Below are 15,084 nucleotides of genomic sequence, written 5' to 3' on the forward strand. Positions count from 1 at the left end.
ACTTAGAAACATGAGAAGTAAAGATTAAGTGTTCCCTCTAACATAGCTCAGTGATGTATTCAGTATTGCCATGTGCTTGAACTTGTCTATCTCTTCAGGACCAAAAATATCATAATTTTGCTGTGACACGAAAGGTATTAGGATATTTTAGGAAGACTGTAGTACAAATAGCTCAATTACAGAATATCATGTTAATGACATATCAATAGAATATTTAAAACTCCATCTAAATGCTATAACAAAACATGAAGAAATGCTTCTTAAAGGCAGATGTACCAAAAGGAATCCATTCACCACTCTCTACCAATGGGAACATCAAACATTGTACCTTTAGAGCATGGTATATTTCTCCACTTAACACCTACTAGAACTCTGCAGTGAGGCTTCAAGTGAGAAACTTCTCTGTTATATCTGGGTTGATGTAAGATCCACATATCAGGAAAGTAAGTGTGTGTGTGTGTTTGTGTGTGTGTGTGTATGAGAGAATAAGATAGGAGTGGGGGACAAGAAGGGAGAGGAGAGGAAATAAAAGAAGGAAAATGAGATATCAGGGAATGAGCACCACAAGTGTAAAATCCTAAGTGATGTGGGTCATGTGTTTGATGGAGAGATAGGGAGAGAGTATTGTGTGGTAGTGGGGTAGTGGAGGTATGTGGCCAAGGTATGTGTGATAATGGTGTCAATGGGGACAGTGTAAGGATGGTATGAAATCACTGTGATCATGAAGACAGAGGCAATGTGAGTGACAGTAACAGGAAGAGATCAGAATGTATGTGACAGTTGTAGTTATGGTCACAGTGTATGTGAAAGACAAGAATTGTGCATGTGTGTGAATATGGTTGTGTGAGAAAGTGGGGAGGGAGAGGACAGGATAATGGGACACTGGGATCATTGTGTGTGTGAAAATGTGGATGGGACATGTTGATGTAGAGGGAGGTTGGAATGGGGCAGGTGTAATGTCATTATGGAAGATAGGTACATGATGGAAGTGAGAAGGCTGGTGTATGTCTGTGTGTCTATGTGTGCTGGGGAAAATGAGAAGTGTGTCTCTTTGTGAGGACAGATGGATACAGTGAGCATGGGTAATCACAGTCAATGAAAATGTGATAATTTGGAGTGGGAAAATCATGAGTGTCTGAATAGGGTTGTTGAATAAAGTATATGATGGGAAAATGCAAAGAGTTTCTGAGTGCCAGTGAGGAATGGGGAATATATGTGAGTGAGAGCAGAGTTGATGTGGTTATTGGTTGTGAGTATGTATGAAATGGAGGTGGTATGAGAATGTGTGGAAGGAGATTTGGAGGATGATACAAGTTTGATAATGGAGATGTGGACTGTGTGTATGATAGTGGGTGTGGCTAGACACTGCGTAATGGTGTAGTGTAGGGATTGAGTAATTGGGGTGTGACTATATGAATGATGGGGATGGTGTGTATGATAATGGGGATTGATTTAAGTTAGTGGTATTTGACAGTGGGTGTCGTGGGTACCATATCTGTTCTGGTCTAAAGACATTTTATTTATGATAGTACAGGATAGGACAGAGTATGTGTGGAAATGGGAGTGATAGAGACAGTGTACATGTTAGTGGGCATATTAATCCATTTTCACACTGCTATAAAGAGATACCTGAGACTGGACAATTTATTAAAAAGAAAGAGGGTTTAGGGTGCTGGTATTGCAGGTGTGAACCACTGCCCTTGGCCTGGAAGATCTCCATTTTTATGATTTTTTTTCATTTTTAATTTTTTTTTAAGAGACAGGGTATCCGCCGGGTGCGGTGGCTTATGCCTGTGATTCCAGCAGTTTGGGAGGCCGAGGCAGGCGAATCGCTTGAGCTCAGGAGTTTGAGATCAGCCTGGGCAACATGGTAAAACCCTGTCTCTACAAAAATAATGCAAAAATTAGACCGGTGTGGTGGCGGGTACCTGTGGTCCCAGTGCCTGGGAGGCTGAGGCGGGAGAATTGCTTGAACCCAGGAGGCGGAGATTGCAGTGAGCCGAGATCGTGCCACTGAACTCCAGCCTGGGTGACAGAGTGAGACCCTGTCTCAAAATGAAACAAAACAAAAAGAGACGGAGTCTTGCCCTGGCGCCCAGGCTGGGGTGCAGTGGTGCTATCATAGCTCACTGCAGCCTAAACTCCTGGGGTCAGGGGATCCTTCTGCCTCAGCCTCCTGAGTAGCTGAGACTAGGAGGGTGAGCCACCGTGCTGGGCTAGGATCTCCATTTTTAGACACTTTATCTCAGTGTATTCAAAATATGGTTCTTGGACAAGTGTGGGTTGGTGATCTGGTCTGCCATGAACTGAGCCTAAGTGTTTGGCAAATTTTACTGCAATTTTAGAGTGATTTTATTTATGTTGAATCAATAATTTAAAAAGTGAGGCTTGTATTTTGTATTCTATAATTTACTGTAATATCATTTTTTCTAGAAACAGACTCTTATTTCACAAAAGTATTGGTTGAAACGAATTAAAGTGAACAAAAAACCAACTGGTTTTGCACAAGTAGTTTGAAATATATTGCTCTATCTTACTCAAAATTGATGCGTATGTGATTTCTTTTTCTATAATGTGAAGTTTTTTTTGTTGTTGTTCTTTGGGGATCTTGTGCTCTACTCCTAAAATATTAATGTCATGCAGGATTCCAGAATTGTTTTGTTTTGTTCCAGATATTTGCCTTGCGTATATAAAGATGTGGTCATTCTTTGCATGCTCTTTCCCCAGAGACACATGTAAATGGAGTTGTAATTTCCTGTTGGTAAACAGCAAGTATTTAAATTTAGAATCAGGTGGTAAGGTTGATATGTAGAAGGGTAATACATTGGATTGCCTTCAAAGTGATATCTTTTCCAGTTAACTGTTAACTCACTAATTTACTGTTTTTCTTTTCTTTCTTATGCTTCATGAATTTATGTGTCATCTGTACAGGGGCCATGTGCTAATCTCTGCACGGTTCCAATTTTAGTGTTTGTGCTGCCAAAGCAAGCACGGCTTTTCTTAATCCTATCAAATATTACATGGTATGTTAAAACAGTATAGATCTGGCTTAAGGTATTTCATGGATGACAAATGGACCTCATGTTATAGAGGAATGAAAGATATAAATTAATAAAACATGATCATGATAAGAATAAAACCAAACTAAATCTCCTCTCCAGTGCTTGGCAGCACACTCCCGGAGAGGGTTCAGGCTGTATGTGGCCCCCCAGCAGGTGCTCAGAGATGGCTTAATGGCCTCGGTGACAACAGGAGCCCAGACTGCATAAGACTCTGCCTCTGCAGATGCAGAACAGTAGGGGCCTCTGATGTGCTTGAACATCTGTTTTGGATCTCCATTTCTCCTCAAGAAGAGACTCCTTTTTAAAAATTATTTTTTTTGAAGCTGCATTACTTACTGATTTCCAGAGTCGTTTTACACCTGCCCTTCTCAAGGGAATATTTTGGGCATAATCTTTTTTTTTTTTTTAATTATACTAAGTTATAGGGTACATGTGCACAACGTGCAGGTTTGTTACTTATGTATACATGTGCCATGTTGGTGTGCTGCACCCATTAACTCGTCATTTACATTAGGTATATCTCCTAATGCTATCCCTCCCCCCTTCCCCCACCCCACAACAGGCCCTGGTGTGTGATGTTCCCCTTCCTGTGTCCAAGTGTTCTCATTGTTCAGTTCCCACCTATGAGTGAGAATATGCGGTGTTTGGTTTTTTGTCCTTGCAATAGTTTGCTGAGAATGATGGTGTCCAGCTTCATCCATGTCCCTACAAAGGACATGAACTCATCATTTTTTATGGCTGCATAGTATTCCATGGTGTATATGTGCCACATTGTCTTAATCCAGTCTATCATTGATGGACATTTGGGTTGGTTCCAAGTCTTTGCTATTGTGAATAGTGCCACAATAAACATACATGTGCATGTGTCTTTATAGCAGCATGATTTATGGAATCCTTTGAGTATATACCTAGTAATGGGATGGCTGGGTCAAATGGTATTTCTAGTTCTAGATCCCTGAGGAATCGCCACACCGACTTCTACAGTGGTTGAACTAGTTTCCAGTGCCACCAACAGTGTAAAAGTGTTCCTATTTCTCCACATCCTCTCCAGCATCTGTTGTTTCCTGACTTTTTAATGATTGCCATTCTAACTGGTGTGAGATGGTATCTCATTGTGGTTTTGATTTGCATTTCTCTGATGGCCAGTGATGATGAGCATTTTTTTAATGTGTTTTTTGGCTGCATAAATGTCTTCCTTTGAAAAGTGTCTGTTCATATCCTTCGCCCACTTTTTGATGGGGTTGTTTGTTTTTTTCTTGTAAATTTGTTTGAGTTCATTGTAGATTCTGGATATTAGCCCTTTGTCAGATGAGTAGGTTGCAAAAATTTTCTCCCATTCTGTAGGTTGCCTGTTCACTCTGGTGGTAGTTTCTTTTGCTGTGCAGAAGCTCTTTAGTTTAATTAGATCCCATTTGTCAATTTTGGCTTTTGTTGCCATTGCTTTTGGTGTTTTAGACATGAAGTCCTTGTTGGGCATAATCTTTTAATCTTTCTGGAAAGCTAACAAAACATTATCTATGCCAGGCTTTCCACCAGGCACACCCCATTCTTTCCATCACAGTGCTTTTTAAAGGACTTTATCATTTGTTCTCTGGGTTCATTTAACTCTTAACTTACACCGATTTAGCATCTTTGCTATATTTCCTTTCTTATTTCATTCTTTATATGTTATGTTACATTTCTGTTTGAGTCTTTACAGTATCTTCTTTCTTACCAACTTGTCTTTCTAGAATATTTTCACAATTAATGTTTTGGTTTGCTTTGAGGTAGGCGATCAGCAGGACTTGTTTTCTGAGCACTGGTCAGGACCCTGTCTATCTAAATGATATGTAGCAAAGAAACTGGCCAAAGCCATGTAGGACCAGCAATTATAATGCACTTGCGTAAGACACTTCTACCACTACCATGACAGTTTACAAATGCCATGGCAATGACCTGGAAGTTACCTTATATAATTCTGGGAACTCTCTTCCCTTTTTCCATAAAGTTTGTGAATAACCCATCCCTTATTTAGCAAATAATTAAGAATGGGTATAAATATAGGTAGCCAGCAATCCACAAGTGCTACTCTGGACCAATCTGCCTCTGGGGTGGCCCTGCTCTGTCTATGGAGCAGTCACTTGGCTGTACACTGTTGCTCAAATAAACTTGCTTTCTTTCATTGTCAAAAAAAAAAAAATAAATAAAAAAATAAAAAGAAAGAGGGTTTAATTGACTCACAGTTCTGCATGGCTTGGGAGGGCTCAGGAAACTTACAATCTTGGTGGAAGGGGAAGAGGCACATCTTGCATGGCAGCAGGTGAAAGAGAGTGAGCAAGAGTAGGGAAAACTGCCTTATAAAACCATCAGATCTCATGAGCACTCACTATCATGAGAACAGGGTAAGGGAAAATGACTCCATGATCCAGTCACCTCCCACCGGGTCCCTCCCTTGACATGTGGGGATTATGAGGATTACAATTTGAGATGGGATTTGGGTGGGGACACAGAGCCAAACCATATCAGCAGGATTGAAAGGTAAAGTGTGAATATGATAGTTTGGAGAACTGGGACAATATGTGGAGATAATACTTATAAGTCATAGTCATGATCATGAGTCAGAGAGAGTCATGTGAATGAGATAGTGTGTTAGACTGTGTGTGTGTGTGTGTGTGTGAGAGAGAGAGAGAGAGAGAGAGAGAAGTTGGGGTAGGGGCATGTCATGTTTTAGGATGGGTATTTGGAATATCATTTGGATATGAGTAACAAGGACCTAAAAATGAGTTGCTTAAAATAATTAGGGGATATCTTTTCCTTACCTGAAACAAGCCCAGGACCTCCACAATTTTATCAATGTCTCAGTCCCCTTATATATTTTTTTGTTCCTTGGTCCTTGGTATATAGCTCTCATCTTCCAGGTACCTTCTGGTTGAAGGATGCCTGCTGCAACTCTGGCCATCATTTCTATGTTTCAGGTAGAAAGAATGAGGAAGAGGAGAGGGCAAAAATACCTTGTCAGTGGAATTAGTCTCCTTATACAGAGCTTTCCCAAAAATCCTATCCAGTTACTGCCAAATACATCTCATGGGAAAGAACTGTGACACATAGCCACCACTATCTGTAGCTGAGAGAACATGGTAAGAAAAAACAGTTTCTTAGTAAGGAAAAGGAGATGTTGGTAGGATATCACCAGTAGAGAAGGAGAGGTTGAAGATTTGCGAGAGGGAGTATAATTAATAGATGAAAATCACGATGGTGCTAGATACAGATGGGATATGACTGGCAGAGTTTGAGATGCTGGAGGATATCATGGTAAGCAAAAATAGACATATTGTCTCTGCCCTCATGAAGCTACTGTCTTGTGAAGAAGACAGTAATCGCAGACTCAAATATTTGTGAAGTTGTCACTCTGGTAAGTGCTATGGAGGGGAAGTACATGGTTCTGTGAATAGGTTAAAAGAGGGCTTTACCTAATCAGGGAAGTAAAAGCAGGGAGGAAGTAATGATGGAGATGAAACCAGAAGACAGATTCAGAATTGATTGGTTGAAGGATCTGTGGATGGGATGGGGTAAAAGTGTTTCCAGAAGAGGAAACAGCATGAACAAAGGGACTTATGCTCTGTTGTCTTTTAAAATGTATTTTATTTCACTTAGAATCTTTTCCATTATGTCTTCAAGTTCACTAATCTTTAGTAATTAATATCATCTAGCATTTTTTTCTTCTCAAATATTACAGTTTTTATATCTAGATATATGACTTGGACCTTATTAAATAGATCTCATGTTTTTACTTAACATGACCATTCTTTCCTCTAAGTTTTTGGACACATGGAAATAGTTATAATGGCTTTTAATGTGCTTATCTGCTAATTATAACATCTATTAAATATTTAAGTTCTGGGTAAGTTTGGATTGATTGATTTTTCTCCTCAAGATGGGTCCTATTTTTCTGCTTCTTGGTATGCCTGGTTTTTTTTTAATTCGATGCCAGGCAATGTAAATTTTACCTTTCGGTAAAATTTTGGTGAAATTTTTTCTTTTGGTGCTAGATATTTTTATATTCCTACAAAGCTACCTGAGCTTTGTTCTGAAATGCACTTCTTTGGAAACAGTTAGATCTTTTTGAGTCTTGCTTTTATGATTTGTTAGGCAGGACCACAGCAGTTTTTTGCATAAAGCTAATTATCCCTGACTGATGAGGCAAGACCCCTCTGAGTATCCCATGCCAATGAATTAGGAAGTTTTCCACTTTAGCTGGTGAGAACAGCATGGTCCCCAGACCTGTTGGAGCTTCTGGCACTTGTTCCCTTTAATCCTTTCAGGTGACTCTTTCCCCAGCCTCAGGCAATTTCCTTTTATGAATTCACTGATCAGTACTCTGTCAAATACTTAATGGCAATCCTTCAAAGATCTCCAGTGTTCTCCCTGTGTAACTCTCTCTTTTTGGGTACTCTGCTCTGTGAACTCTAGCTACCTTGGTCTTTCTGGTCTCTCATCTCTGTCACTCCAATTCAAGGAATCCCCTGGATTCTGACTACATTCTCCCTTGTTGCTCCACAAACTGGAACCTCTCAAGCAGTAAGTGCTCACTTCTTTTTTCCTCATCTCTCAGGGATTACTCTTCTTCATTGCCTAATGTTCAGTGTCTTCAAAAACCATTATTTCATATTTTATGTCCATTTTTAAGTGTTTTTTGTCAGGTTGGAGGGCAAAATCCTGTCTCCAGCTTGCCTCTTAGGAAGTTATATGGTGGAGACCTGTTAGATAATTATTTTCTTTTCTTTTACAGTTGTTTGACCTTCTCACTACTGCCAAGTATCACAAATGAGTGACAGTTATAATTTTTTTATCAAATGAGAAAAGCCTGAGAATAAGAAATGTATTCAAAATCAGGGATTTGAGGAACAATTTGGGTCACAGGGGAATGTGGCCATATATTACAAGGATAACTCCTCATGACTCTAACCACAAGGAACTTCTGAGCATAAAGACAAGTTAGAAAAGGAGATTAACCTTCTTTCAAAGGATAGATGTTTAAGGCTTGGGGTAGATATTCACAGGATTGGTTCCCAGCCAGGGGGCTTCCAAGACTATAGTAAGTGTTAGAGTAATTGTGCTCTAATCTCAGACATCCTACGGGAGGATGAAACCATACATAGGACAAACCCACACCCACACCCATAGTGTGGGTCACATGACCATAGCTTCAGACCAATTTCAGAGACTATAAATCAGCACGAAAAGGCCATGATGGTGAGAAAATGTGTGAAGAGCATTGAAGAGCCTTTGGCCAAGCTTCAGATCTTATTAACATCAAATAATTCATTAGCAGAGATAAACTCTATGAATGTAGTGATCATGGATGGTCTTTCTTTCTTTTTTTTTTTTTCTTTTCACATTCAGTTGACTTTGTGGATGGTCTTTCAACCAGAGTTCAAATGTCATTCATTATTGTTAAACACATACTGAAGCCATAGAAATGCAGTCAGTGGAAAAAAGCCTTCAGGAACAAATCAAACCTGAGTAATCATGAGAAATTTCAACCTGGAGAGAAACTGTTGAATATACAAAATGTGATACTCCACTCTGTTCTTATCCCATGCAGACTCCCCCAATCTGTGTAAGTGATTCCTTTGGATCCCTCCTCACATGGCTTTGGTGAGGGAGTTGCATGCCCCTCTCCTTCCTCAAGAAAAAGGAAAACACTCTTCCCCAAGCCAAGGACTCACAACACTGTAAATTCTTATCTAATTCTTTCTAGCTTTCTGAGTACATATGGGCTGAAAAGGAATGGAATGAATACCAGTAGCATGACTAGTATGCTCTCCCCATGTAAGGCCCGTAGGATTGTGTTCAGATCTCCTGGGATGTTCTTTTTAGAATGTGGAGGCACTGGGTACCTTTTTCTTTTCTTTTCTTTTCTTTTCTTTTTAAAGGCTATATGGCTTTAACCAAAATTCTGAGGAAAGTGTGAAAGTTCCATTCAATAACCTGCTAAATTTATATTATCTTTTCTCATTTAATATTACAATAGAAGCATGCTTCTGCCATTAAAAACATCTGAATCGGATTTTTTATCACTTTCAATTTAAAGCATAGTCTTCAAAGGTAAATTACTAAGAAAGTATAGATATTTTTTAGGCTCTAAATATACGTTTCTGAATTGTTTTCTAGTAAAAGGAATATTTGTTTGGCTTTTCAATAGCAAAGGACATCCTCAGCATTTTTTTTAATGGAGAAAATGATAGTGGAAAAGAAAGTCATAGATTGCATTTTTTCCTAGATCAGGAATTCATAAATAAGACTAAGAGGCAAGACACCAACCAAAAAAAGCATTTGCAACAAGTGTGACAGATACAAGGTTAATAACCTTAATGTACAAAGAATTCTCACAGCAAAATACAAATGATTAAGAAACGCTGAGAGTATCTTCCCATCATTAATAATAATAATAAATACAGTTTGAATCAATTAAATGTCATTTTGTCTGTCAAAATGGCAAAGATATTTTCAAAGCAAATGTTCAGCACTGTTAAGGGTATGTGAGAAGTCTTCTGCATTGCTAGTGTTGACAAAAACCTTTCTAGAAAGCAATTTGGTATTATTGAATAACGGCCTTAAAATAGTTCATACCCGTTTGAACTAGTAATTCCATTTCTAATAATATACCATAAAGAAATAATTGGAGGTATGCACAGAGGTTTGTTGGGGGAAAATCACCACAATGATAATCTAGTGAACAAAAATAAATGGAAACAAGATTTTTGTTATTTGGTCAAGTAGGTAAGTTCATATGATGGGATATTACACGTTATCATAAAGAATTTTGCAAAGACTTTTTAATGTCATAGAAAATGTTATGCCAAGATAATTGTGATAAAACATTATATACAAAAAGAATCTCAGATGTAGTATATTAATTACAACTGTGCATGTATGTGTGTGATGTTAGACTTGGTATGGACCATTTTCCCAATGTTTTTCAGATGATTTTTCTTTTATAAAATGAAATCAGGAAATGTCATACTATGTAGCTGAACTCATATGACTTTTCTGAGTCCAGCTATATATCTATTTTAATTGTTGTTAATGTTCCATGATTCCCAAATTAAGTGGTTTATGAGGTTTATATTGATGCTGAACATTGAGGACACATATGGCACTAAATCATATCCCAGGTGTCTGAGAGCATTCAGATATGTCTTGAAATTTTCCAGTGCAAATCAAAGAGGGACTCTATGTCACAAGATACCAGAAGCTCACATGGTAAGGTCATCTGATGCAGTATCAAACAAATATCCCCAAACTGTGCATTGAGGTTCTACTTGCAGGCTTCCTCCCCTTGTCTCTTCTGATAACCTTCTGCTTATTAATGGAATGTGAGTTGCTGTGGTGATGGGGGTGAGGAATTAACTGGAAGGGAATTGTGCAATATGAAGGAAGGTGTAATCTATTTAAGTCTGTAAGAGATTACAAGTCACCAAGAAAGCCTGCGATGGTGAGAAAATGTGTGAAGAGCATTGAAGAGCCTTTAGCCAAGCTTCAGATCTTATTAACATCAAAATTCATTAGCAGTGATGAACTCTATGAATGTAGTAATCATGGATGGTCGTTCAAGCAGAGTTTGGATGTTATTCATTATTGTTAAATACATACTGAAGCCATAGGAACGCATTTGATATAATCCTAAGATGTCACTTTGCCTGCTCTTATGATGCAAATTGGCACCAGAAATCCAGCCAACTTTATTAAAATTGTGGAAATCTGACTGGACTCAGATCCATTAATCCTTGAAAGCAGGTAATACATGTATTTTTGCCATCATTATTTCTCCAGCACTTATCACAATGTGTAGCACTTTACTAGGTATACTTTTAAAATGTTTTAAAATTCTTATACATATATAAATAAAGAAGATAAAATCAAGTTGACTCAAGTCTAGAAAACATGGATGAGGGATTTAAGAATTCTAAAGTGTTTATTCTGAGGCACCATATTGCTTTATGTTTGGAGGCTCAGTGTATATTATCAATGTAGAGGCTTCAAGAGGGACCCATTATTTCATATGGTTATTCTATCCTTTACTTAGGGGTGTTATAATCTCATGCTATGATTTTGTTTTTATTATATTTTGCTTTAAAGTACTATGTCTGATATTAATACATCATCTTTTTATTATTTGCATGTAATAACTTATTCCATCCATTTATTTTCATCTTTGCTGTATCTTTATGTTTAAGATATTTCTCTTGTTAATTGCATGTAGCTGCCTTTATAATGGAAAGATACATAAATTTCCTTTAATTACAGCATCCTCAAATATTCTGTAATTGGAGATTTGATTTCCTCTTTGAAGGAAAGCTTCATTTATTCCTTCTCCAGTGCTCTCCCTTTCTTTATGTACTTCCAAGTTTCTGCCCTATATCATTTTCTTTCTGCCCGAAGAAAATCTTCTAATATTTCTTGCAGGGCAGGTCTGTTGGTGATCAATTCATTCTGTTTTTGTTCATCTGAGAATGTCTTTATTTCTCCTTTACTTTTTTTTTCTTCTCCTTTACTTTTGAAAGATCTTTTCCTATATGTAGAAATCTAGGGTGGTAGTCATTTTTCTTTTAACACTTTAAATATTTCACTTTACTCTTGTTGCTTGCATGGTTTCTGATGAAAGCTGCTAGAATTATTATTCTTATTCTATTATAAGTAAGATATTTGGTGTTCTCTGAGCTTCCTGGATCTGTAATTTGGTGTCTGTCATTAATTTTGGAAAATTCTTAGCCATTATTACTTGATATTTCTTCTGCTGTATTCTCTTTCTCTTCTCCATCTGATGTTCCAGTTATGCATATGTGACTCCAGATTTGCCTATCCATCAAGATTTTAGGGTGATGATTTGCCCTGAAATTTCATTTCTCTGACAGGTCCAAAAAAGTGATTGATTTTTAGTTTGTCCAGGTTTTTTTTCTGGTTGTTGGTGCCTCCAGCCTCACATTGATTCTGTGGTGGAAGAAAAGCATGGGGAAGCAAAGAGTCAGTAGATATTGTGGGTTCCTTAAAAAGGAGGAACCATAAGCCCCATATTTTAGGGATGGGAAGAAATGCCAGGTAGGTTTGCAAGATCCTTAAGCAATGTGTTCTTTTGTCTCACCTTCTGGCTAAGGCCAGAGAGGACAAGACTACAAAATAGAATTGTCTGCGTGGTGTCTATAATTATTTGGAGCCTCTTCATGTGGTTTCCCTCAGCTCAGGGTATTTACAGGAGTATATGTGAGACAAAGACAGCCTCACGGAGGTTAATAGACCTCAGCATATCATAGGAACAGTAGAATGTTTTCCATGTATATGAGTGATATATGATACCCAAAGAGATAGTTGGACCCAAAGCAGCTTTACAGTAAAGAAGGAAGCTCACTCAACAGCTACCTGCTTGGACAGACATTGATGAACAAATATGACATGTATGCCAGCATGGATACATGATACCCAACATATGTTACCCATCCTGATGTTTTGACACTATTTAACATCCCTAGAACTTAAATACAACCCCAAAGCAGAGAGTGAGAGGGGGACTCCATACTGCTGGAGATTAAGTTTCCACCACTCAGTAGAATGGGAACTTGACATATAATTTATGTTGAGTTGCAGAGAAAATAACTTACATTTCCTGCATACCGGAGTTTGTCAGATAATACCCATACCTGCAGAATAATCATTAACAGAAAGTGGGTGATAAACACTGAGTATCTCAAACAAATTTATCTACTCAAAACATGGGGTATGTGGCTCTTATAGTAGAAAACCACGGTGGTCTTATCTCAAGGCCAGAGTGAGATGTGAGAAATGACCTCTGGCATTTTGGTGGGTACCAACATAAAGAGAACAGGGAATCTGAGGAGAGCAAAGGACAACTTCTCTGCAGAACGAAATCACTGTCATTGGTGAGGTGTGATTCTACTTCATTTCTTCATCTTCCTGTCCCTGTCCCTCTTACTTCAAATACTTCTCTTTTCTCCCTGGTTATTTCCTCTACTCCCTCCTTCCTCTTTTTTATCCCTCTCCTTGTTTATTTTTCATCCCTCCTTATCTATTCCTTAACCTCTTGTCTTAGTCAGTTCGGGCTGCTGTAACTGACTACCATAGACTGGGTGGCTTAAACAATAGAAATATACTTCTCACCATTCTGGAGGCTGGGAAGTCCAAGACAAAGGCACTGGCAGATCTGCTGTCTGTTGAGGGCCCTCTTTTTCCTGGTTTGCAGATAGCCATCTTCTCGTTGTGTCCTCACAAGGTGGAGAGCAGACCGAGGAAGCAAGCTTTCTCCCTTCTCTTCTTATAAGGTCATTAATCTCATTATGAGGGCTCTACCCATATGACCTTATTACCTCCCAAAGTCCCCATCTCCAATACAGTCACACTGAGGATTTAGGTTTCAACATCTGAATTTGGTGGGGCCACAAACATTTTGTCCATACCACCCCTCTATCTACTCCTGCCTCCCTCTCATGCTCTTCCACCTTACATCCTCTTCTCTTTCCTCTTGCTTTTTCTTTTTCTTTTCTTTTCTTTTTTTTTTTGAGATGGAGTTTCGCTCTCGTTGCCCAGGCTGGAGTGCAATGGTAAGATCTTGGCTCACTGCAACCTCCGCCTCCTGGGTAGAAGCGATATTCCTGCCTCAGCCTCCTGAGTAGCTGGGATTACAGGCACTTGCCACCATGACCAGCTAATTTTTTGTATTTTCAGTAGAGACGGGGTTTCACCATGTTGGCCAGGCTGGTCTCGAACTCCTGACCTCAGGTGATCTACCTGCCTCAGCCTCCCAAAGTGCTGGGATTACAGGCATGAACCATTGCACCTGGCCTCCTCTTGCTTTTTCTACTTCAACTTAGTATCTGTTCTTTCTCCATTATCTTATTTTTCCTTATCTTCCTAATTCCATTTACTTCCAGCTGCTATTTTCATTCATCTTTTCTTATTCCTATTATATTCTTTCTTCTTTTCTTCTTCCCTCTCTTCCTCCTCAATTCCTTTCTTTCCTACTTGACCTTCTTTCTCATTTCTCCCACTCTTCATGCTCCCATCTAACAAGATAGTGGAAAAGAGAGAAAAAGGTAATAGAATGCAATAAAAATGTACTTAAAATGGTAACAGGAATAGGTGATGGGTTTGACTGGGGAATAAGGCAGAGAGAGGCATTATGAATAACCCAAAGTAAAATAGGGAGAAAAAGAGGCTATTAAATATGATTTTTTAAAACTACTTATCAAAAAGCCATAATTATTCTGATAGGCAAAATGGTAAAGTCACTTCAGGAAAAAGAAAGGGATGTTACTTATTTAGATTATTACTCAGTATTGCTCTTGATGTTTTAGCAACTCAGAGAAGACCACCAAATAAGTGCTATTCATATTGTAAAAGAAGTGATCAAATTATTTCTTTTTCTTATAGTGTGATTGTACATTAAGAAATCACAATAGATTTTTAAAAAAATAAAATACTAGAATTGAGGACTTCTACTTCCAGAAAGAAGTAGTAAACAGGGTAGATGTATTTTCCCTATTCATCTCTGGAAAAAATATATAAACAAAACATAAGAAGACCCAGAAAGTTGAAAAGAAGATGATGTATTCTCTAGGGAACTTGGAACCAAGGAATCAACATGGAGGTAAGTTCCCTGTGTTTTCTTTTTGCTGCATACATCCTAGACCAGATGCTAGAGAAACTGGCAAACTGGAAACACCAAAGGGCACAGACAAAAAAAAAAAAAAAAGCTTCAATGTAAATCCACTCTTTCTTCACCTAAAGAACAGACAGCTTAGTAAGGCAATTATTTTTTACTTTTATTTTTTTTTGAGACGGAGTCTCACTCTTGTTGTCCAGGCTGGAGTGCAGTGGTGCGATCTTGGCTCACTGCAACCTCCGCCTCCCGGGTTCAAGCGATTCTCCTGCCTCAGCCTCCTGAGTAGCTGGAATTACAGGCACGTGCCACCACGCCCGGCTAATTTTTGTATTTTTAGTAGAGACGGGATTTTGCCATGTTGTCCAG

At 38.5% G+C, this 15,084-nt stretch overlaps 1 protein-coding gene and 1 pseudogene across 4 annotated transcripts in view; one reads left to right on the forward strand and one right to left on the reverse strand.

Annotated features, from left to right (window-relative positions):
- MAGED1 (MAGE family member D1) overlaps positions 1–15,084 on the forward strand; it is a 99,279-nt gene that overhangs the window by 64,742 nt on the left and 19,453 nt on the right. Inside the window, exon 2 of one of the 4 annotated variants that reach the window (XM_047442676.1) lies at positions 1–14,703. This exon is cut by the window's left edge and continues 15,709 nt beyond it. The exons of the other annotated variants lie outside the window; for them this stretch is intronic. The gene's annotated coding sequence lies outside the window, so the exon portion shown is untranslated. The remainder of the gene's footprint in view (positions 14,704–15,084) is intronic. 4 annotated transcript variants of the gene reach the window in all.
- RNU6-504P (RNA, U6 small nuclear 504, pseudogene) lies at positions 2,889–2,992 on the reverse strand (annotated as a pseudogene).

This window comes from Homo sapiens, chromosome X, assembly GCF_000001405.40.
Source record: "Homo sapiens chromosome X, GRCh38.p14 Primary Assembly".
Lineage (NCBI taxonomy): Eukaryota > Metazoa > Chordata > Mammalia > Primates > Hominidae > Homo > Homo sapiens.